The sequence below is a fragment of the Homo sapiens genome, chromosome 5 (genome assembly GCF_000001405.40).
Source record: "Homo sapiens chromosome 5, GRCh38.p14 Primary Assembly".
Classification (NCBI taxonomy): Eukaryota; Metazoa; Chordata; class Mammalia; order Primates; family Hominidae; genus Homo; species Homo sapiens.
This window is the reverse complement of record NC_000005.10, coordinates 168,493,020-168,517,242: the sequence shown is the minus strand read 5'-3', so window position 1 is coordinate 168,517,242 and position 24,223 is coordinate 168,493,020. Positions and strand designations below refer to the sequence as shown.

Below are 24,223 nucleotides of genomic sequence, written 5' to 3'. Positions count from 1 at the left end.
TGAACCCGGGAGGTGGAGGTTGCAGTGAGCCGAGATCGCGCCACTGCACTCCAGCGTGGGCAACAGAGTGAGACTCCGTCTCAAAAATAAACAAACAAACAAAAAAAAACACTTTAGAAGTCAGGTGTAATGGTGGTATGTCAGTAATCCCAGCTACTCAGGAGGCTGAGGTGGGAGGATCATTTGAGCCCAAGACCCCGTCTCATTTCAAAAAAAAAAAAAGAAAATATTTTTGAGTAACTAAATATGCTTTCATTTGATTCACAATAAAACAATGCCTACCCACAATTACCTGATTCTAGTGAAGGCATACAACAAGTAAGCAGCTGTATTTCCTCTGTCATCTAGCATTTTGTCAAAGGAGAAGATGTAGTCATTCAACCGGTTATGGGAAAGGTCAGCATATTTGATGCAGCCATACGCAACGGATGTCTGAGCAGCATTCAATTCCTCTGCAGTTAAGACCTTTGGGAAAAACAAAACAGTATTTCATAGCTTACTGACTGCTGCTTCTGCCCTGGTGTCTCATAGGCATAAGACTGGGGTAGGGAACATCTAATGGTATTCTTTTACCAATAAACTTTAATAAACACTGACACTGAGGCAGAAGGACATGGGCCAATGTACAAACAAAATAATGAAAATATAAAATGCGTTATGCACAATGAAGAATGTGTCTATGAGAAACTGAATTTGTAAAATGTAAAATGTCAGCATGAATACCTTTTTCCAGTGTATTCAGTAGATATGAAACCAGAAGCATCAATTATTAGTTTATATCCACTTCATACTATGAACATTGTGAGGTTATAGGAAACAGAGTAACACCAAAAAATACAAACAAAAAGTTAGCGTTAAATAATTAATTGAAATCAAGGGTGTATTAAGAGTAGATAAAAGAACCCATTCACTGTTTTGCTAATATTTGCTCAAGTATTCTAAAGCATTATTAGGCCACAAGTAAGTAATTAAGGATTTTTGCTTCTGGCCATGACAGAATACCTTGCAGCAGACTAACCATTCTACCAAAAGCAACTATTTAAAAGCTGGGTTAAACATATGAAACAACTGGTTGAAGTCACTAGAGAGCATCAACACAAGCAAAGTTGAAGGGACTATAGTTCTTAGAAGAATGAAAACATTGGGAAGGAGTCCATCATCACTTGGCTTTTTCCCCAAGGGCATTTTTCAAATCACTACATAGTGGACAAAGGGGACAGAACCCAAGCAGAAAGAAGTGGTCTTGCTGAGGTGAGAAGACAAGAGTTTAGAGTACGGGGCTGCCAAAGAAGCAAGGACACAATCCCCAAAAAGAAGGAGCCACAGAGGAGTCAAAGACTCTGTGAACACATTTCTTTCAAATGTCATATGGCTGGCATGCACAAGGCAAGACTCCAAAAAATCTATCAGGAAAGAGCAAATGGTAATTAAAGAGCTGAGCAGTGATTTCAGCAGCTGTGTGACACAAGGCAGTTCTGCAGCGGCAAAATGGAAGGGCATTAGCACACACGCCATTGAAGTATGGCCAGAGGGCCATATTTCAGGAGTAAGGACCTCACCCTAGTCATACAGGTAAAATTTAAATAGTTCAGCCCTAAAGAAGCATAAGGCCAATACAAACAGGGTCAAGATAATCAGCTGGTATGCTACCTGTGGGCTAGAAGAAAACATAACGGTCTCTGGAGGGAAATAACCTCAGCCATAATCTTTATAATTTTCTCTTCATAATGCCGAGCACCCAACAACAAATAAATCTTTCTAAAAAAGCAAGATGAGCCATGCCTGTAATGCTCATGCCTGTAATTGGCTCATGCCTGTAACGCAGCTACTTGGGAGTCTGAGGTGGAAGGATCACTTGAGGCCAGGAGTTTCAAACCAGCCTGGACAACATAGACCCCTATCTCTTGTGGGGGGAAAAAGATAAAAGAGCAAGATGAAATAACTAAATACTAAGGAGGGGGACTACAAAGAAAGGGCTAGGAGAGAATCAAGACAACAGAAACAAAAGAAAAAAGATAATAGCAACTTTAAAATCTGAAATTGTTTAAGATGAAGCTACTTAAAAAATACTTATTAATGACAAAGGGGGAAAATACTAACTTTACAGGGGAGAAAACTGATACTATCACCTTACCAAAGAGATCAAAATTATTATTATTAATTATGAAGCTTATCAATATCATGTGCCTCCTGATATGAACTGATAAGAACTCTACATCTATTCTTGTAAGACTGTATAACCTGGAAACAGAGTACAGCTTATAAGACTTATAAGACTGTATAACCTGGAAACAGAATTAACAGAACAGGAGCCAATATCAGACAAATCCAACTAAGTGATATTCCAAAAAAACTAACTGACCAGCAGACTTCAGAAGTGTTGAGGTCATGAAAGTCAAAGACAGACCAAGGAACTAACTGCCCAGATTAAAGAGAAGGAGACATGATAACTAAATGTAACATGTTATCCTGGACTGGATCTTAGACTAGAAAAAGGTCATTAGTGAGACCAACTGTACAACCAGAATAAGGACTGCAGATTAGTTAATGGTATTGTATCAATGTTAATTTCCTGATTTTGATAATCATACTATATAGCTATGAAAGATATTAGTATCTGGGGATACTAAATGAAAGATACAAAATTCTTTGTACTATCTTGCAACTTTTTTATGTCTAAAACCGTTTTAAAATGTTTAAAGAAAACTATGATTAACATGTTCAAAAAATTAAAAGGAAAACAGTAAGAAAACTGGAAGAAAAGATGAAAAATTTCAAGAAATACCTTAAACACAGAATACCAAAATATTCTCTGAAGTAGAAAATATTCAAAATAAAGCAAAAAGAAAAAAATGAATTAGAGCATAAGAAACACGTGAGATACAAAGTTCTAACATATGTACTTGGAGTACCAAAAATAACAGAATGCGGAAAAGTAGTAGCATTTGAAGAGATAGGGCCAAGAATTCTCCTAACCTGATGAAAGAACTCAACCCACAGATTTAGGAAGTTTGGCAGCCCCCAAAGGGTAAAAACAAAAATGACTCCCCAAACCACACTTAGGCATTTCTTAGTCAAAGTACTAAAAATAAAGCCTAAGAAAAATACTAAAAAAAGTCTGAGAAAAAGATACATACTTTCAAAGGAGAAACAATGAAACTTACAACTGATTTTCAAAGGAAACTATGGTAGCTGGAAGACAATGGAGTATAATTTTTATTTATTTCCTCCCTCAGCCCCACTGGTCCTCTCCAGTTCTGTGGAATGTCATCTCTAAAAATGCTGAAAGAAAACAGCTGCCAAACTAGAATTCTATACCCAATAAAAACATTGTGCAAAACTGAAGGCATAACAAAGACATTTTTGGACAAACAAAAATTCTGAAAGAATCTGTCACCCCAGCAGACCTGTGCTAAAAAAATAAAGACCTTCAGATTGTGGAAAAATAATCCCAGGTGGAATCAAAAAACTGCAGGAAAGGGCGAAAATATATAGATAAATGTAAGTACTGATTGTCTAATGCAAAATAATAATAATAATAATGATAAATGGGCAAAAGAGTTAACAGACTCTTCACAAGAGAAGATTATCTAGATGACCAATAAGCCTAAGAAAAGGCAGTCAGGCCAGGCACAGTGGCTCATGCCTGTAATCCCAGCACTTTGAGAGCCTGAGGCAGGCAGATTGCTGAGTCCAGGGATTTGAGACCCGCCTGGCCAACATGGTGAAACCTCATCTCTAAAAACAATACAAAAATTAGCTTGGTGTGTTGGCATGTGCCTGTAGTCCCAGCTACTCGGGAGGCTGAGGCAGGAGAACTGCTTGAACCCGGGAGACGGAGGTTGCAGTGAGCCAAGATTGTGCCACTGTACTCCAGCCTGGGTGACAGAGTGAGATTCTGTCTTAAGAAAGAAAGAAAGAGGCCGGGCACGGTGGCAGGGCAGATCACGAGGTCACGAGATTGAGACCATCCTGGCTAACATGGTGAAATCCCGTCTCTACTAAAAAAAAAAAAAAAAAATACAAAAAATTAGCAGGGCGTGATGGTGGGTGCCTGTAGTCCCAGCTACTCAGGAGGCTGAGGCAGGAGAATGGCGTGAACATGGGAGGCGGAGCTTGCAGTGAGCCGAGATCGTGCCACTGCACTCCAGCCTGGGCAACAGAGCGAGACTCTGTCTCAAAAAAAAAAAGGAAAGAAAGAAAAGAAAGAAAAATAAAGGTAGTCAATATCATCAATATCATTATTCATCAGAGGAATGAAAATTTTAACCACAATAAGTCACTATGCACTCACCAGAAAAGCTAAAATAAAAAACACTGACTAAACCAATTGTCAAGGTTAGTATGTCAACTTGACTGGACTGAAGGATACGAAGTATTGATCCTGGGTGTGTCTGTGAGAGTGTTGCCAAAGGAGATTAACATTTCAGTCAGTTGTCTGGGAAAGGCAGACCCACCCTTAATTGGGTGGGCAGCATCTAATCAGCTGCCAGTGAATATAAAGCAGGGAGAAAAACGTGAAGAGAAGAGACTGGCCTAGCTTCTCGGCCTACATCTTTCTCCCGTGCTGGATGCTTCCTGCCCTCGAATATCTGACTCCAAGTTCTTCAGTTTTGGGACTCAGACTGGCTCTCCTTGCTCTTCAGCTTGCAGACAGCCTATTGTGGGACCTTGTTATCGTGTAAGTTAATACTTAATAAACATCCCTTTATATGTATCTATCCTATTAGTTCTGTCCCTCTAGAGAACCCTGACTAATACACCAATGTGGGTAAACATATGGTGCAATGAAACTCTCATATGTTAGTAGTGGGAGTATACAACGGTCACCACTTTCTCCTTGGCAATTTTTAATAAAGTTAAGCGTAAGTCAGCCCTACAACCCAGCAATGCCATTCCTAGATATATATCCGAAAGAAAAAGCACATGTACCTCTAAAAGGGCTTGAACAACAATGTTCAAAATAGCTTTGTATTCAGAACAGCCAACAACTGGAAATAATCCTAATGTCCATCAATAGGAGAATGGATAAACAAAATGTGGCACCTTCATATATCAGAATATCATGCAGCAATAAAAACAAATGAACTACAGCTGGGTGTGGTGGCTTATGCCTGTAATCCTAGCACTTTGGGACGGCAAGGTGAGTGGATCGCTTGAGCCCAGGAGTTCCAACATGGCAAAACTCCATCTCTACAAAAAATACAATAATTAGCCAGGTATGGCAGTGGGTGCCTATAGTCCCAGCTACCCGGGAGGCTGAGGTAGAATGATCACTTGAGCCCAGGAGGTCGAGATGCGGTGAGCCATGATCTTGCCACTGCACTCCAGCCTGAGCGACAGAGTGAGACTCTGTCTCAAAAACAAAACAAAACCAAAAACATATGAACTACTGATGCACATGGAAAAGGGCACATACTATGTGATTTCATTTATTTGAAATGCCAGAATAAGCAAAAGTGATTTATGGTGATAGGAAAATCTCTGGGGTGATGGAAATATATCTTGATTGGTGTTCTAAGGCATATATATGTAAAAATTCATTAGGCTGTGCATTTTACTATGCACAATTAAAAGTAACTTAAAAAATTACTAGCTGGAGTGGTTAAAAAGAGTTAAAGCAATTTTTGTCATCAGGCAGACTAACAAACAGCTAGATGACTGAACTTACCACTTTTCATCTGACTGTGCCAGATGTGCCTAGACCAGTGATTCAGCTGGATCATGGGGGCAGATTCCTTATGGCTTGGTGCTGTCTTGGTGATAGTGAGTTGTTGTGAGATCTGGTCATTTAAGAGTGTGGCACCTTCTCCCCCTACTCTCTCTCTCTTGCTCCTGCTTTAGCCATGTGAAGTGCCTGCTCCCCCTTCATCTTCCCCCATGAATAAAAGTTCCCTGAGGCCTTCCCAGAAGCCAACTGATGTTGGTGCCATGCTCCTACAGCCAGAAGAACCATGAGCCAATTAAACCTCTTTTATAAATTACCCAGTCTCAGGTATGCATGACCTCTCCTCTACTGCTCTAAACTTAAAAAAAAAAAAAAAAAATTTTTCTTGTTGACTTTTCAATTCCTCCAAATTCCACACAAACTGAACCATAGTCTTTTCTAAGGGTGCCATGAAAGGCCATCATGTTGCCTGCTCTGAAGGTTCATCAATGGCCTTGGGTGGCAAGAACTGACTGCTATGACCACTCTACAAATGCTCCCAAGAAGGAGCATGGCACATGTAGACTCTGATGTGAGCTGACGAATCAAACCCCTTCAGTCTGCAATATTCTCCCATCTTTGGGAACTGCTGTTAAGCAGCACGGATACTAAGCTACATTAACAAAGGAGGAAAAAGCCAAGGTCTTTTTTAATTGCCAAGAACTATATTTTCTAAATAAATGCTCAGCAATTCACAAAATAAACTTACTGTGCAATAAAGTCAGAGCAATATAAGCCTTGTCCTAGGTGGGACTGACTCCTCACACTTCTCCTCAGTTCTCTCAATAAAAACAAAAATGAAAAATCACAATGCTTGATACACATTATGCCTATAAGGCTTTGAATTACCTTGTCTCTTTCTTTTTCCTTCAACTTGTCCATGGATCGTTTTAGTCCTTCTCCCAGAAGATCCATGAGGCGCACTGTTTCACCCGAACGTGTTTTAAACTTTTTCCTAAAAAATGTAAAACCCCCAATCAGATTTTGAAACAGACTTTTCAACTTAGAAATCTTTGAAAATGAAGGTTTGAGAGACCTGACCACAAAACTGCAACATATGTTTTAAATCTCTAAGGTACATATTGCCCCTGAGAACTATTAAGAGAGGGTTGATGCCAATGGTAACAATGCCTTATGCCAGTCATCAAGCAAGGAGAGTACTACATGAAACACTGTGCTTTCAAGTGTCTTTCATCTCTAGCCCTCAACTCAAAGCATCCTATGCTCTAGCCCTCAAAAGCACTCTCTACATATTTACCTTTAATAAGTTTCCTAACAGAGAAAGAAGATATTTGTTAATTTGTTTGCTTTCTTGGAATACTAAGTTTGGCTTAGATGTTTCACCTTTTTAGAAAAATTACTAATCAAAATATATGTTTCTAGAATTGTTGAGAAAGTCAGTAAATTCTTTGACAAAATCTCACTTGAATTTCTCTGTATACTAATTCCTCTTGTTCAGTGGTAACCAAGCCTTGATTCATACCAGAATCGCCTGGCAAGGTTTAAGAAAGATGCTTGAGCAGCCAGTTGCTTGCTTGCTTCATTCACTCATTTATTTATTTTTAGAGACAGGGTCTTGCTCTGTCACCCAGGCTGGAGTGAAGTAGTATGACCACAGCTCACTGTAACCTTGAACTCCTGGGCTTAAGTAATACTTCTACCTTACCCTCCCAAGTAGCTAATTCTATAGGTGCGAGCCACCATACCTGGTTAATTTTTTAATTTTTATAGAGATGGTGTCTCTCACTATGTTGCCCAGGCTCCTATCAAACTCCTGGTCTCAAGTGATCCTCCCACCTCAGCCTCCCAAAGTGTTGGAATTACAGGCTGGAGACACTGCACCTGGGCCAGTTCCTTTAAAAAAAAAAAAAAGAAAGAAAGAAAAAAGAGAAAAAAACCTCAGGATGCTAGGGCCCCGTTCAGATCTACTGCAATCAGAATCACTACGGATATGGCAAAAGCACTAATAAGCATTGCCCTGGGCAGTCGCTGTTAAAAAGCATTTTGAGAAAACTGAATTTTATGTATTAAACAAAAAAGTTTACATAACACCAAGGATATAATATCATTTTCCTTTTTTTGGTGGGGGGGGGGGGGTGTTTAAAAAATCCCTCAAATATAACAATGAAGCATGCTTTTCTAACACAAAGAGTACCAAAATGAATGTGCTACTTTCTGTTAAAGTTTTATTTCCAGAGCTTGCCCAAGCAAGAATCTACTTGCCCTGTAAAATTCTGCTTATACAGAATTAAAACTCCTTTATTATCCCACAAATACATTATATATTTCCATAGCTTTCTTTAGCCCATACACTTCTTCTTAAGTGTTCAACTTTCAAATCTCTGATAAAATGAAACTCATCATGAAGACCAGTCAAAATGCTAAAGGAAACCTTCCTTAATCTACTTTGCAATTACTGTTCCTTTCAGTTACTCCCTACCTGCGCCTGCCATGAATTTTTGTTTTTGTGTTGGTCTATTCTGACTAGTGGCTCTACAATGAGGGATGCGTATCTGAATACCGAGAGCTTTAAAAAAAAAACAGATGCCTAATACCCCCTTTAGACCTAATAAGTCAGTAACTCCCACAGTGGGGCTTGCATGTGTATTTTCACAAGCTCCACAGGAAACTGCTCTGCTCTAGATGATAGCCTCTTTCAGAGAGGAGCTCATGTTCCGTGTACCTGCATATACACATTGTGGAGCATCCAACCAACACCATGCACAGCACATCCTCAATAAACAGATGTACAAGGAATAGCAGGAAGATGATGAAATTAAAAAAAAATTATCATTCAAAAAATTAAAACAGAAAATGTCATTTAAAAATAGAATCTGTGAGCATTAAAGAAAACAAACCTTTTTCTTAAGTCCCATCCCCCTCTGTGAGAATTTTTTTTTTTTTTTTTTTTTTTTTGAGACAGAGTCTTGCTCTGTCGCCCACGCTGGAGTGCAGTAGCACAATCTCAGCTCACTGCAAGCTCCGCCTCCCGGGTTTACACCATTCTCCTGCCTCAGCCTCCCGAGTAACTGGGACTACAGGCGCCCACCACCACGCCCAACTAATTTTTGTACTTTTAGTAGAGACGGGGTTTCACCATGTTGGCCAGGCTGGTCTCAAATCCTCACCTCGTGATCCACCTGCCTCGGCCTCCCAAAGTGCTGGGATTACAGGTGTGAGACACTGTGCCTGGCCCAAAATTTAAAAAATAAAAAAAAAAAAGGCGGGTGGGATAGGATACTATAACTACATGCTGCTGAGTGCAGAAAAATTTTAAAAATTATCAAGAATCCTTTAGCCATTATATGACAAGTGAATTAAATGCCATAATAGGAGCACTAGTAATTTTAAGCAAGTGTCAGAATATCATCTAAATGTCCAAAAAACCAACCGTTAAGAAACTAAGATACTATTAAGTAATGATCAACTTACTGGTTTGTTTTAAAAAACTTTATGTCCATAAACACTATAATAAGGACTTAGTGTCTTCTTAGTTATTCTTTTTGTTTTTGAGACACAGTCTCACTCTGTCACCCAGGCTGGAGCCCAGTGATATGATCTCGCCTCACTGTAACTTCCACGTCGATGCTCAAGTAATCCTTAGCTGGGATTACAGGTGCATGCCACTATGCCTGGCTAAGTTTTTTTTTTTTTTTTTGGCAGATATGGGGTTTCACCATGTTGCCCAGTTTGGTCTTAAACTCCTAGGCTCACACAATCCTCCAGCATTGGCTTCCTAAAGTGCTGGAATTACAGGCGTGAGAGCCACTTTGCCTAGCCCCTAGTGTCTTTTGATTTCAAAAAAGCGCAGATCCACGGAGAAGAAACGCAATTAGAAAATGTTGTTCCCAACAAGGTCTTTGAGCTCCACATAATCTGTATCTAAGATAATACCTTAACACATCTCATCTGCCTTTTACATGTTCAATTAGGGCTTCTGCGCATTGGCTGGCCAAACATCTTGAGCTACTTCATGTGGTTTTTTAGAAGCATGACCACGTTTGTAGGATGGAAATATTTAGGCTTTGTTACCAAATCTAAGATGCCACAGATTTTTGGTAAGTGATCCTAAGACACCAGTGAATACAGGAGGTTACAACATGAAAAATGCTGTGCCTTTGAATTGAGGAATACTGTATGGAAACACGGTTGTATTTACCTTTTTATTTTATAAATATTGAGAATATAAAAAAATTAGAAAATAGAAAAGCTGAAAGTATGAATATTAAAATACATAGTTCTCAATAAACAATATTTTTGGAGAGAACATAACAAAACCAGTGAATCTTAAAACTTAATTGGAATCTCAATAACTTATACCTTTTGCCTATGTTCAACTTTGAAGGAAAAAACAAAAACATTTATCAAATGCATAAGCTATATTGTTGAATAGTGTCTGAAATCTGAGCAGGTACTGTAATAGATTTTATAATTTAGATTTGTGGGAGAGGAAACCCCTTATATATAATCTATTAGGTCTACAGTCTGGTTTTCACTAAACTTTGTACATACTATCTACCTAAAAGGCTACATTCCCTGGCAGTGATGATATAGATACAAAATCACTCAGCTGGGTTTACACCATTATAGCTTATGTGGACTAAAGGAAACTGTGGACTTTCTTAATTCTAATATGGTATCAAATGAAAAGTAGCCTCTTGGGATCAAGTATATCATTACCATCTTCAGATTTTCCAGACTTACTTGTCTTCCCCTAGCACCACACCAAATCCAGCATGGAAGACTCGAGTTACTTTAGGGTCATACCAACCAATCATTTGAGCAGCAGCAAATATTGTCTGGAAGTGCACAGACTACAACAGAAACGGAAAGTTACTTGCTAGTCTTCTTTAAAGAAAAAAAAAAAGACTTAAGGCTCTTTTGCTTAGGAATAGATCTGTAAAATTCAAATCGCTCATAAATCTTGTGAGACAAGTGCTATTATAAAACCTCTTCTTTTATTCCCTATATATGAGAAACACTAAGAGCAACACTGTTACATTTTCTACTATGTTCAAACGTTTTTAAAGCAACTGAATTAAGGGCAGGGTCACATGCAAAAACTTCAATTACATTTTAGGTCTCACAATAACCCTACTGATAGGAACAATTGCTGAAGTTCAGAGGTTCCAGTTTGTGGAGGCAAGCTGGAAAACTAGGAAGTGTCCAGTTTGGCTGGGTCCAAACCCTCTTCTTTCTTCTATGCTATACTGATGTCCTGAATCTTAGTCTTTGGGGAAAATTTACAGTCATCCAGTGTCAGATGTCACCAACCTCACCATACTGTCTTACCTCTAATCAGTCAATGTAAAACACATACAAATTTACAAACTCACTTGTCCATTGTCCACAACATAGATAATCATATCTGCTTTTTCCTCAAATAGTCTTTGTTTAATAGCAGCCAGGTCAGATGTATCATAGGTATAACCTCCATCTGATTTTACTATGGTTAATGGTATGGAACACCCTGGGACAAATACAATCTTTCTGCCATCATCCACCTGCACAAATCCTAGGGGGTAAAAAACACTTCATTAATAAAGTTAAAAGAACCCTGAAGGAAAATGAATGCTTACTCATTCTACTATGTAAATATTTAGTTATTCTAAGAATATTTTGAAATATATTTATTAGAGAGCTAAAGAAAGCACATAATTTTTTCCTCACCATGATCTATTAGAAACCTTGGAAAATGTTAACCATCAAGGTTGCCTGGATACTCAGGGTGCTATCAGAGCACAGGTCAGATGTTCTGGCAGTTTTCCACACTTAAACACTAAACTTGGTTCCCAACTGCTTTTTTTTTTTTTTTTTTTTTCTTTTTTGATACACAGTCTTGCTACGTTGCCCAGGCCGGTCTCAAACTCCTGGGCTCAAGTGATTCTCCTGTCTGGGCCTCCCCAAGTACTGGGATTACAGGTGTGAGCCACCATGCCTGGCCTCCCAAACTCTTTAGTTGGAACCCATCAGCTCGGTAGGACCAGAACATGAAAATCTGCTTTGCTTTCAAGCTGGAGCCATAACCTTCCTCTTGGAGAAAGCTGCAATTCTTATAGTGATCTCTAACAGCGTGCTGAAAAGTAGTTGACACTGTTTCAAGGTCCCGGAAACAAACAGGGCAGGATTTGGCATTTGGAATGAGAAGTAGGAAGAAAAATTAAATCCATGTTCATACACTCATGATAAAAAAGACAGAATTCTTGGATGCAAGAAGGTACAGGAAGAACATGATAACAGTAGCAGCTATTAAGAGTGCTACTATGTGCCAAGTACTATGCTAAGTCCTTAAATTTAACCTTCAAAATAACCCTATGCAGTAAATAACTCTATGCTTTCTTACAGTTTAGAAAATTGAGGCTTGGTAATGTAAAGGCAGTATAAAATAAGCAGTTAAAAACATAAGCTTTGAAGCCAGACTGGCTAGGTTTGAATCTCAGACGTATCGCTTATTAGCTATGTGACCCTGGGAAGATACTAACTTCTCTGTGCCTATTTTCTCATAAAATAAACATTTAAAAAATTGCATTTATTTATTTTTTTCAGACAGGGTCTTGCTCTGTCATCCAGGTCTTTCTCTGTCATGCAGTGGTGTGAACATGTTCACTGTGGCTTAGACCTCCTGGGCTCAAGCAATCCTCCTGCCTCAGCCTCTCGTGAAGCTGTCACCACAGGCATGCACGATCACGCCTGGCTAATTTTTTTTTTTTTGAGACGGAGTCTCGCTCTGTCATCCAGGCTGGAGTGCAGTGGTGCGATCTCGGCTCACTGCAAGCTCTGCCTCCCGGGTTCACGCCATTCTCCTGCCTCAGCCTCCCGAGTAGCTGGGAATACAGGCACCTGCCAACACGCCCAGCTAATTTTTTGTATTTTTAGTAGAGACGGGGTTTCACCGTGTTAGCCAGGATGGTCTCAACTCATGACCTCGTGATCCGCCTGCCTCGGCCTCCCAAAGTGCTGGGATTACAAGCCTGAGCCACCGGGCCTGGCATTTTTTTTTCTTTTTTTTTTTTTGAGACAGAATCTTGCTTTGTCGCCAGGCTGGAGTGCAGTGGCATGATCTCGGCTCACTGCAATCTCCACCTCCCGGGTTCAAGCGACTCCTCTGCCTCAGCCTCCCGAGTAGCTGGGACTACAGGTGTGTGCCACCACACCAGCTAATTTTTTGTATTTTAGTAGACACGGGGTTTCACCATGTTGGTCAGGATGGTCTCGATCTCCTGTCCTCGTGATTCGCTCACCTTGGCCTCCCAAAGTGCTAGGATTACAGGTGTGAGCCACCACGCCCAGCCACGCCTGGCTAATTTTTTAATTTGTAGAGACAGGGTCTCACACATTGTTGCCCAGGCTGGCCTCAAACTCCTGGACTCAAGTGATCCTCCCACCTCAGCCTCCCAAAGTGCTGAGATTACTGTCACGAGCTGCCATGCTCGACCTCTCTCTCTCTCTCGTTATTCTTTTTTTTTTTTTTTTCAGAGACAGGGCCTCATTCTGTTTCCCAGGCTGTAGTGCAGTGGTGTGAGCATAGCTCACTGTAACCTCAAATGCCTGGGCTCAAGCATAGCTAGAACTACAGGCATGCATCACCATGCCCAACTACTTCTTTTGTTAATTTTGTTAATTTTTTGGCAGAGAAAGGGTCCTGCTATGTTGCGCAGACTGACCTCAAACTCCTGGCCTCAAGTGGTCCTCCTGCCTCAGCCTCTCCAAGTGCTGTGATTACAAGCATGAGCCACTGCACCCAGCCAAAATTTTATCATCTTAAAAAGTATGGTCCCTAGGCCCTAGACTGTGATTAAAATACTACTCCCATTCAAGGAAACAGGCTTCCATAGAGATATGGTTGATTTCAGGTCTGAGGCAGGAAATGTACAAAATGGGCCTGGAATATTGTATACCAGAAAGCAATTAACTAACTACCAAAGGGGTTGAAAAAAACAAAACCACAACAAAAAATATGAAGTTACTTAGCCAAAATGGAACAATTTGAGCACTACAAAAATTATAAAGACAACTGACTGAAAAATATAAAACACATTAAAAGCCCACCACAATAATATCAAAATCAAACAACTCACTTTGAGATGCTAAGGAACAAACCTATTATTCTGCAATTGATAAAAAAATCAAGCACTTCTACTACCCTACCTGTTTTATATGAATTGTACCTGAGGATAACCAAAATAATTAGTAACAAAGTTCAGCATAAGAGAATCCCAAGTAACAAATGGAGAAAGAATGACAGAACACTACCATTTTCCAACCTCCAATGAAGTGGTGGATCAAAGTCATGGTCATAAATAGCTGATAAAGCCAATAGGGAAAAGTCTGATGGGGAAATTTATGGACAGATCCAGCTGACGATACTTGAATTTACTAATCAATCTTAATATGACAAAAACAGAGACAACCAGACACTGCCTCATTGCCTGCATTCTTGCAACTAAAAGAAAACAACAAAAAAAGGAATAAAACATAAATCAGAATCTAATGAAGCCTCTTTAGAGAAACACAGACAAGGAATTATGCTAAATAGTTCCATATGGGAAATTATTTAGGACAAATAGCCCAGTTTCTTCAACAATAAAAGAAATTTAAAAAGAGGGAGAAACCTCAGATTTATAGAACTTAAGATACATATCAAACAAATGTTATATGCATACTTTGAAAAAACTGTTAAAAAAAATCATGAATCCAACACTTTGGGAGGCTGAGGTGGGTGGATCACTTGAGGTCAGGAGTTCAAGACCAGCCCAGCCAACACGGTGGAACCCTGTCTCCATTAAAAATACAAAAATTAGCTGGGTGTGGTGGTGCATGTGTGTAATTCCTGCTACGTAGGAGGCTGAGGCAGGAGAACTGCTTGAACCCAGGAGGCGGAGGTTGCAGTCAGCCGAGATCACGCCACTGCACTCCAGCCTAGGCGACAGAGTAAGACTCTGTTTCCAAAAAAAAAAAAAAAAAAAATTCATGAATCAACTTGGGAAATTTGAACTCTATTTAATGGTATTAAGAAATTATTATTGGCTGGGTATGGTAGTTCATGTCTATAATCCCAGCACTCTGGGAGGCCGAGGTGGGAGGATCACTTGAGGCCAGGAGTTCCACACCAGCCTAGGCAACATAGCAAGATTGTTTTAAAAAAAAAAAATATATATATATATATATATATATTTGTTATTATAATGATATTGCGGTTTTAGGGCAGAAAGAAGGTCCTGTTCTTTCAGAGACATATACCAAAGTCATTATAGATGGAATTATATGAGGGAAGCAGTGTAAGAAGGTATAGATACAATAAGGTTGGTCAGTACCCATAACTGTTGAAATTGGATGATGAGTACATGAAGCTGGCATTACTATAAATTCTATCCACTTTTGCCTATGTTTGAAAATTTCCATAATAAAAAGTTAAAAGAAGAGTGCCTACCTCTATCTTCAAATTCCTTTACAATATCATTCATCCTATCTTGATAGAAGGATTCCCCTCTCTCTATTAAAGAGACGTCCAATGCATCATAGATTTTATTTAACTCTAGGGAAGAAAATAAAATGCCACCAAATAAAATGCATAAGAATTTTTTAAAAACAGGAAACATGCATCTTACATTGAAATAAATTTATTAATACAAATATTAAAAGGAAATTAATTACATAAAAAATGTATGATATAGAACATTATATACATGCTGTCATTTTGAAAAAGGGAAAGAAAATGGTAAGGTACACATCAAAATATTAACAATGGGTGGGACTATAGATAATTTTATTTTTCTCCTGTCTACGTTTACTTTCTTTTTATTATTATTTTTTGAGATGGAGTCTCGCTCTGTCAGCCAGGCTGGAGTACAGTGGCGTGATCTCAGCTCACTGCAACCTCCGCCTCCCGGGTTCAAGCGATTCTCCTGCCTCAGCCTCCCAAGTAGCTGGGACTACAGGCGTGTGCCACCACGCCCGGCTAATTTTTCCACTTTTAGTAGAGATGGGGTTTCACCATGTTGGCCAGGCTGGTCTCGAACTCCTGATCTCAGGTGATCCACCCGCCTCGGCCTCCCAACATTTACTTTTTTATATAAGGAACATGTCCTTCTTGTATAACTTTTAAAAAAATTAATTCTTAAAAAATGTAAATGAGAAGAAAAAAAAGCTCTTCCTATCTAGTGATCAATATTTACTGAATTTTCTTCTGGTTTTTCCTGATTTAAACCACTTACCTGTCTATGTAGCAATACATCAATGACACAGTATTACTTACTGTAATTATAAAACATTTTATTACCTAGTGCTGCAAGCCAGTCATCATTAATCGTCTTTTTCAAAGATCTACTGGTTGTTCTTTACCCATTTACTCTTCAAAGAAATCTTTAAAACTATTATGTCAAGTTAGAAAACTTGAAATCGCCTTAAAATCATAAATAAATTTGGAGAACTAGGGAACTGGGTCTGGCACTCTATCCAAACATTCTATTACATCTCATTGTACACTTCTCATCATTTTGGTCCTACACATTTCTGAATAAATTCATTCCTAAGTGTTTTATAGGTTTTGTTGCTACTGTGAATAAGATTTCTTTTTATTTTCCACTTTATTTTCTAATTAATTTTTGCTGACTTCTAAGAAAGTTAAGATTTGAACCTGCCTGTCTTATGGCAGGTTCAAAATTTATTGGTTGTTTCAGAAATACATTTAAGAAAAAATCTATTTGCCTGTCCTTAGAAGGTTAAAATATCACTCAAAGTCAAATCAAAATGAAGACTCCAGGAAATGATATACATAGTATTTGCTGGACGAAGGAACAAAGCCCAGAAACTCACCTTGGCGGGAGACATCACAGATAAGCTTCCAAGCTTTTGTAATATCTGGGTTTTTACCCTGGAGCAGAACTACACACTGATATGCTCGCTTCTTAAATTCCTCCTCAGTATCAAACCTCTTCTTAGATTCCTGTATATATATATATTTTAAAAAGTAAGGTGTGTAAAAAGATCTAATCCTGTATTTCTAGAAAAAGAACTTACACATTTCTACACACACAAACACAGTGAGAAAGTACAAACACGAGAACAAGTGCTCTCCCTCAATAGTTGAGAATACTGTTACAAATGAACATGCCAAAGAACTTTGAAATCATTTCTCTTAAAAAATACAAAAATCTCACCACAGTTTTCTTTACACTTTTCCAATTCACAAAAGTCTACTTCAGCTAATACTTTTGTGTTCAAGGGTTAGTACAGAATAGCTAACAGGTAGGACTGAATTTTCTGTGTTCCAATCTCCATTTTGGATGTGGTCCTGAATGAATTTTTTTTTCGTTTTTTTTTTTTTTTTTTTTTTGAGACAGAGTCTCACTCTGTCTCCCAGGCTGGAGTGGACTGGAGTGGCTGGAGTGGCATGATTTCGGCTCACTGCAACCTCCGTGTCCCGGGTTCAAGTGATTCTCATGCTTCAGCCTCCAAGTAGCTGGGATTACAGGCACAAGCCATCACACCCGCCTAATTTTTGTATTATTAGTAGAGACAGGATTTCACCATGTTGGCCAGGCTGGTCCCGAATTCCTGACCTCAAGTGATCTGCCCACCTGGGCCTCCCAAAGTGCTGGGATTACAGGTGTGAGCCACCGTGCCTGGCCAACTTATTATTATTATTTTTTAACTAAAACGAAAGTTGCTTTCATTGTTTTATTTCTATTTTGAAAGCAACACTTACTTAAAAATAATTAATCTCACCTTGAATTAACTGGTGTTAACATTTAATGAACAAATCTAGATATTTCTTTGCAAATACACATATATGTTTTATGAAAAATTGGAAATGGCTTTTTTTTTTACTGTGGTTTGTAAATTTTAACAATTTATTTATACAAACAATTTCTTGCATTAATAGATCTGCTTCATTATATTCGAAGTACAGAACTCCAAAAGATGTTTATAACATTACTTTTCCAGTCTCATATCAGTAAACATTTAGCTTATTTTCAACAGAAAACATTTACCAAAAGTAAAATGAAGCAAACAAAAACAAAATCCCCACAAATGTTTACTTTTTAATACAGGAATCCTATTCTTGAAACATTCTCCATCATAAAGAAAATGCCTAAGAATTTAAACAAACAGAAAACATGCAACTCACATTAAAATAAATTTATTAATCAAAATATCCGAGAGGAAATTATGATCTTTATGATCCTTCCACCATAGGGAATTTTTTTTATGTTTATTTTTTTAAGACAGGGTCTCACTCTGTCACTGAGGTTGGAATACAGTAGTAAGATCACAGCTCAATGCAGCCTTGACCTTGCCAGGCTTGGGTGATCCTCCCACCTCCGCCTCCCAAGTAGCTGGAACTACAGGAGTGTGCCCGGCTAATTTTTTGTATTTTATGTAGAGACAGGGTCTCTCCATGTTGTCCAGGCTGGTCTTGAACTCCTGGACTCAAGCAATCTGCCTGCCTCAGCCTCCCAAAGTGCTAGGATTACAGGCATGAGCCACTGCACCCAGCCCATAAGGAAATTTTTAAAAAACATTTTTAATTTTTAATTTTTGAAGAAATAATTTTTTTTTTGAGATAGGGTCTCACTCTGTTGCCCAGGCTGTATAGTGCAATGGTGTGATCACAGCTCACTGCAGCCTTGGTCTCCCTGGTCTCAAGTGATACTCACATCCACCTTAGCCTCCCAAGTAGCTGAGACTACAGATGTACACCAACATGCCTGGCTAACTTTTGTATTTTTTGTGGAGATGAGGTTTTGCCATGTTGCCCAGACTGGTCTCAAACTCCTAGGCTCAAGCATTTTGCCCACCTTGGCCTCTCAAAATGTTGGGATTACAAGTGTGAGCCACTGAACCCAGCCAGGAAATAATTTTTAAAGAGGGAAAAAAATCCAAGTGTACAAAGCTATTTACTGAATAACAACACCTCTAAAATAGAAAAAAATCCTAATAAAGGATTAATGTAAACATTGGTACACTGATCCAACAAAATGTGCAGTCATAAAGTAACACAAAAGTTTGCAATATTAAATATAATACAAAAACTATATTAAAATCATAAATGATTAATACATGTTGATATACAGATTAAGTCAAGGATTCAAAGAAAGTTGATCACAATAGGCATTTTAAAATTATGGATGATGTGAAAATTTGTCTTTAAAATTGTTTTTACATACATTTAATCATATCAAAATACATAAAATTAAGCATCAAAAAATTTTAAGTCCTATAATGCATTGATTAATAAACCTCTAAATTCAATGTGGTATAATTCATTTTTTTTTACTTTTTTTTAATATAATTTTATCTTTTAAGATAAGGTCTTGCTCTGTCACCCAGGCTGGAGCGCAGTGGCATGATCATGGCACACTGCAGCCTTGACCTCCTGTGCTCAAGCGATTATCCCTCCTCAGTCTCCCAGGTAGCTGTAACTACAAGTGTGAACCACCATGCCTGGCTAGTTATTTTTGTATTTTTTGTAGAGATGGGATCTCACTTTGTTGCTCAGGCTGGTCTCCAACTCCTGAACTCAAGCAATCGGCTTGCCTCAGCCTCTCCAAGTGCTGGGATTACGGACACGAGCCACCGCACCTGACCTAGAATTTGATTTTTAACATACGCCAATAAACAAAGCAAAGATGACATATTAACAGGTGGGGGATGGCTGTTTCTATGCATACAACCAAATGTAGGGTATCTAGTAGCGGTTCTACATACACGACCAAATGTAATGAATCTGGGGGTAGGGGATGGCTGTTTCTAAGGCACACAACCAAATGCAATGAATGTCAGAATAAAAAAGAATTCAGTTTTTCAGATAGGTAAACTAAACGAAAGGGCTTGCCAGTGTAGATGAACAAATTTTATATGTTTATCAATTAGTCTGTTCCCATTTTGCCTTCCACCATAAATAAAACTCCCTGAGTCCTCCCCAGAAACTGAGCAGATGCTAGCGCCATGCTTGTACAGCCTGCAGAACTGTGAGGTAATTAAACGTCTTTATAAATTACAAAAAAAAAAGTAGTTTAAGTTCAAGAGAATGTCATTTATACAGAGACATGTATTACTAAGGCTGTTAGCAACTTTCACTTAACTCCATAGTAGCTTTAAAAACCATTTTAAGTTTCCTAAGGAAAATGGATAATTATGATTAATGGTAAACACACACATAATATAAAAGAAATGGTATCAAACCTTATAAAAGACCTGAAGATCCCCAATAGGAGGTGAAACTGTTAGATAATCTGGAAATTTGTCTTGCAGGTGAGCGATGAGCATGCCAAACTGGGTCCCCCAGTCTCCTACATGATTTAACCTAACACCAATCAGAGAATATATAATCATTTTTTAAATAATAAAGATGGTTAAGTTAAATTAGAGGAACTATATTCCATTAGGAACCACTAATATTTACATGCCAGTACATCACCATTTAGTAATATCTGTTTACTTGGTTGTTTCTTCAACTGGTCTGCAAACTCCACAAGAGATGAAAACTATGTCTGTTACATTCAGCTCTGCATACTCAAGTACTAGAGGCTGCACAAGGCAGGCATCCAGAATTTGCTGAATGAATGTGTTTTCTGTCAGTGGACTATAATCTGTTTATTTTGTAGCTAATTGAGACAATGACAGCTGGGCCAATGTTGGTTATTCCCACAATTTTATGAAAATTTAACATTTTAACCATTATCTTAATATAATTTAGACCAATGGTTCCCAAATATCAATGAACAAAATTCTTGAAAATATATGTTGAGGCCGGGTGCAATGGCTCACGCCTGTAATCCCAGCACTATGGGAGGCTGAGGCAGGCGGATCACTTGAGGTTAGGAGTTCGAGACCCGCCTGGCCAACATGGTGAAACCCCGTCTCTACTAAAAATACAAAAAATTAGCCGGGTGTGGTGGTGGGCGCCTGTAGTCCCAGCTACTCGGGAGGATGAGGCAGGAGAATGGCGTGAACCCAGGAGGTAGAGCTTGCAGTGAGCCAGGATTGCGCCACTGCACTCCAGCCTGGGCAACAGAGCAAGACTCTGTCTCCAAAAAAAAATGTTGATCCAACCCACTTCTCTCCCTCTCTGCTTTTATCTAATCCAAACCACCAGATCATCTTTCAAGTGGATTATGATAGCCTCTTGACTTACTGTTTTTTTTTTTTTTTTGACAGAGAGTCTTGCTCTGTTGCCCAGGCTGGAGTGCAGTGGCACGATCTCAGCTCACTGCTATCTCTGCCTCCCAGGTTCAAGCAATTCTCCTGCCTCAGCTTCCCAAGTAGGTGGGATTACAGGTGTGCACCACCACACCCAGCTAATTTTTGTATTTTTAGTAGAGACAGGGTTTCACCATGTTGCCAGGCTGGTCTCAAACTCCTGACCTCGTGATCCATCCTTCCTTGGCCTCCCAAAGTGCTGGGTTTACAGACGTGAGCCACCGTGCCTGGCCTAACACTTACTGTTATAGTCTCCCTTCTTTGTCTAGCTTCTTCACAGTAAGTAACCAGAGTAATCTTTAATTTGTATTATTTAAAAATTTTTATTTCTTTAAAAATATAAAAAATAGAGACAGGTTCTTGCTATGTTGCCCAAGCTGGCCTAGAACTCCTGGCCTCTAGTGATCCTCCCACCTTGGCCTACCAAAGTGCTGGAATTATAGGTGTGAGCCATGGTACCCAGGCTAATCTTTAATTTGATCACCCTGCTTCACAAACTAAAACTCTCTAATAGCTTCCCAGTACACTTAGAATAAAATCTCAATTGCCTCTCACAGCTTACAAGGCCCAAAACAACCTGTTTCTTTACTACTTCTCTCCCTGCTAGGATATAAACCCATTGCATACAAGAGGTCCTCAAGAAACATGTGTAGAATGAAGGAGTTTTGTCCTTGGTTCCACTAAGAGTCTAAAAAAATAAAATAGTAAAAAAGGTTCAGAGGAAAGGCTCAGGACATATTTTAAAAGCTTACTGGGTGGTTGTAAAGAAGAACTAAGCTGATGAACCACTGATTTAGTCGAATGTTCTTTCTTGAGTGAGATATTCCATGTTCTATAGAATTTTCCAAACAAGAAAATAAGGAAAGAGAATAGTACGCAAGGCAAGAGCACATACCTGAGCACGTCATACCCTGCAAATTCAAAGAGGCGGCTTATACTCTCTCCTATGATAGTTGACCTCAGGTGGCCTACATGCATCTCTTTAGCTATATTAGGGGAGGAAAAGTCAACTATAACCTGGGGTAGACAAAAAGAGAAAGGCTGTTAAGAGGGGCATAAACATAAAGAGAGAAAGATTTTTTTAAGAGGAGCATAAACATTTTGTTCCAATGCATTCATTAATAACACATTTAATAACAAACTCAGACTTAAACATTAATTTGGGCCGTAATTCAACCATGTTTGATTTTATGATGGATCTGCTTGTATATTTTTAACTGAAAAAGAATCAAATTCATGTATACAAATTATCCATTCTATTTCAGTGATATCTGTGTATCAATTGGCTACCTCAAATGCCTTGTGGAATTAAGTGAAAAAAAAAAAAAATCACACAACATGCTAGACCCAGGGGAAAGGCTACTTCATAAATGTTCATAATCTCAAATGTGAATGATTAAATTTCAGTATAAAAGTGAAATCCATTCCCGGTTTCAGCACTTTCCATGCAGTTCGTTTTTCTTTTTCTTTTTTAGAGATGAAGTCTCATGATACTGCCCAGGTTGAAGTGCAGTAGCTATTCACAGGTGCGATCACAGCACACCTCAGCCTTGAACTTCTAGGCTCAAGCAATCCTCCTGCTTCAGCCTCCCAAGTAGCTGAGACTATAGGCACATACCACCATGCTTGGTTCCACGCAGTTCTAAGATACTAATATATTAATAGAAGAGTGTACATATACCTTTTTATTCTCTCCCAGAGCAGGTAGTTGAACTCCATTCACTAGAAGACTGGTCAATTGTTCTGATACAAAATCCTTTCTTAAGTGGACATTAATAAAACCTAATGGATAGAAGAGAAAAAATATCAGATACTGTCTTATCTTGAATAATCACTCGCTCCTAAGGATTTGCTCCAGACACTGACCTGGCTCTGGCAAAATTCTTCCGGATTCCAATACCAGTTGTGGCCTTGACTTAAGCTGTCTTGTAAGCTCCTGTCTCACCGTCTACTTCAAGCCTTCACCACTCTCCTGAAACCTTCCTACTTAACTCAGGGCCCTTTCACTTTCAGCAAACAATCTGTTCGCCTCTTAACAGAAAACAGAAGGCCCTTGTGCCGAAGACTTATCTGCCATTATCTATCCTCATTTTGCTGATGAAAAACTGAATCACAGAGAGGCAAAGTAACTCATTCAAGATAAGGCAGCTAAAAGTGGTAGCTGAGTCTAGATTAAAACTTCAATTTCCTATATCACAATCCACAGTGCTTTCACCATCTTGTTCAGTATACAAAGTTTAACCCTGTAATTAAAATGTGTGTTCTTTTTTAACTTCAAAAAGGACTCATGTTCAATACAACTATTAAGAAGGATAACATTATGTCATACCAGGACCAGCAATTTCAACTTTTTCAATACATTCATTGTCTGGGAGGTGTTTGGTAATGTTTTCAGCAATTTCTCTTGGATTAACTTTCTGTTCCTTGGTTTTGAGCATCTACAACACAATATAAAATGATTCATTACACAACAGATTTCAGCAAGTTACTCGCAAATGCACACCTGACAAGGCACGAGATGCATTTTACGTTAAGAACCATCAAAAGGCAGAAGCAGAGAAGTCCAATCACATTATGAATGACAGATTAAAGTATCAATAGTGCCAAGAGGCATAGAAAGTGCCCACACTACATGATCTCTATTTCCAAATACGTTACACACAAATACCTGGAACTATTTTTTTTTTTTTTTTTTTTTGAGATGGAGTCTCGCTCTGTTGCCCAGGCTGGAGTGCAGTGGTGTGATCTCGGCTCACTGTAACCTCCGCCCCTGGGTTCAAGCAATTCTCCTGCCTCAGCCTCCCTAGTAGCTGGGATTACAACACCTCGAACTTTTTAATGATGACATAACAAAGTCTACAGTTATGAAGTCTGGTTCCAGCATATTTACATTTCTAATTTTCAAGCCATGAAGGTGTGCAATATTCACACTTGAGAAATAAACCACACTGTAAGACCTGGACTCTTCAGAGTAACCCCTTCCAATTCAGCAAAGAAAGGAAAACAGAAAGACCCAAGCCAGATGCAGTTAACCATAAACACATCAGACAATGCCTCTATTTAAAATGGGGAACTCCTCTGCTTGAAAATGAATATATAAGCCTGGCTCAAAGATCACAGTTACATCAAATATTTAATTGGGATGCTGACTGGTAAATGGCTTATTTTAATTTTTCACCTCCCAGCACTCATCACCACCACACAGCAATCCTGGACACAGCAGGAGGGAAATACCTAAACAAAAGAGTACCAATGATTGCCCTTAAATATTGAGAATACATATAAAATTTAACCAAACCTTAAAAATTGTGC

General features: G+C 38.8%; 1 protein-coding gene across 1 annotated transcript in view, besides 1 other annotated feature; it reads right to left on the bottom strand.

Moving 5' to 3' along the window:
• Window positions 1-24,223, bottom strand: part of RARS1 (arginyl-tRNA synthetase 1) — a 32,831-nt gene that overhangs the window by 2,059 nt on the left and 6,549 nt on the right. Inside the window, exons 4-13 of the mRNA NM_002887.4 lie at window positions 23,241-23,349; window positions 22,593-22,693; window positions 21,807-21,928; window positions 19,895-20,015; window positions 16,523-16,652; window positions 15,138-15,242; window positions 11,044-11,222; window positions 10,412-10,521; window positions 6,557-6,662; window positions 293-465 (exon numbers count right to left, since the gene is read on the bottom strand). Of these exons, the coding sequence (NP_002878.2) occupies window positions 293-465; window positions 6,557-6,662; window positions 10,412-10,521; window positions 11,044-11,222; window positions 15,138-15,242; window positions 16,523-16,652; window positions 19,895-20,015; window positions 21,807-21,928; window positions 22,593-22,693; window positions 23,241-23,349 (1,256 nt within the window). The remainder of the gene's footprint in view (window positions 1-292; window positions 466-6,556; window positions 6,663-10,411; window positions 10,522-11,043; window positions 11,223-15,137; window positions 15,243-16,522; window positions 16,653-19,894; window positions 20,016-21,806; window positions 21,929-22,592; window positions 22,694-23,240; window positions 23,350-24,223) is intronic.
• Window positions 9,135-9,304: an enhancer, noted in NCBI's record as "experimental_83640 CRE fragment used in MPRA reporter constructs". NCBI's record gives its function as "activates a minimal promoter by MPRAs in K562 erythroleukemia cells, with activity observed for both the introgressed and non-introgressed 5:167935029 variant alleles {active_cell/tissue: K562}" and the evidence as "EXISTENCE:reporter gene assay evidence [ECO:0000049][PMID:34662402]".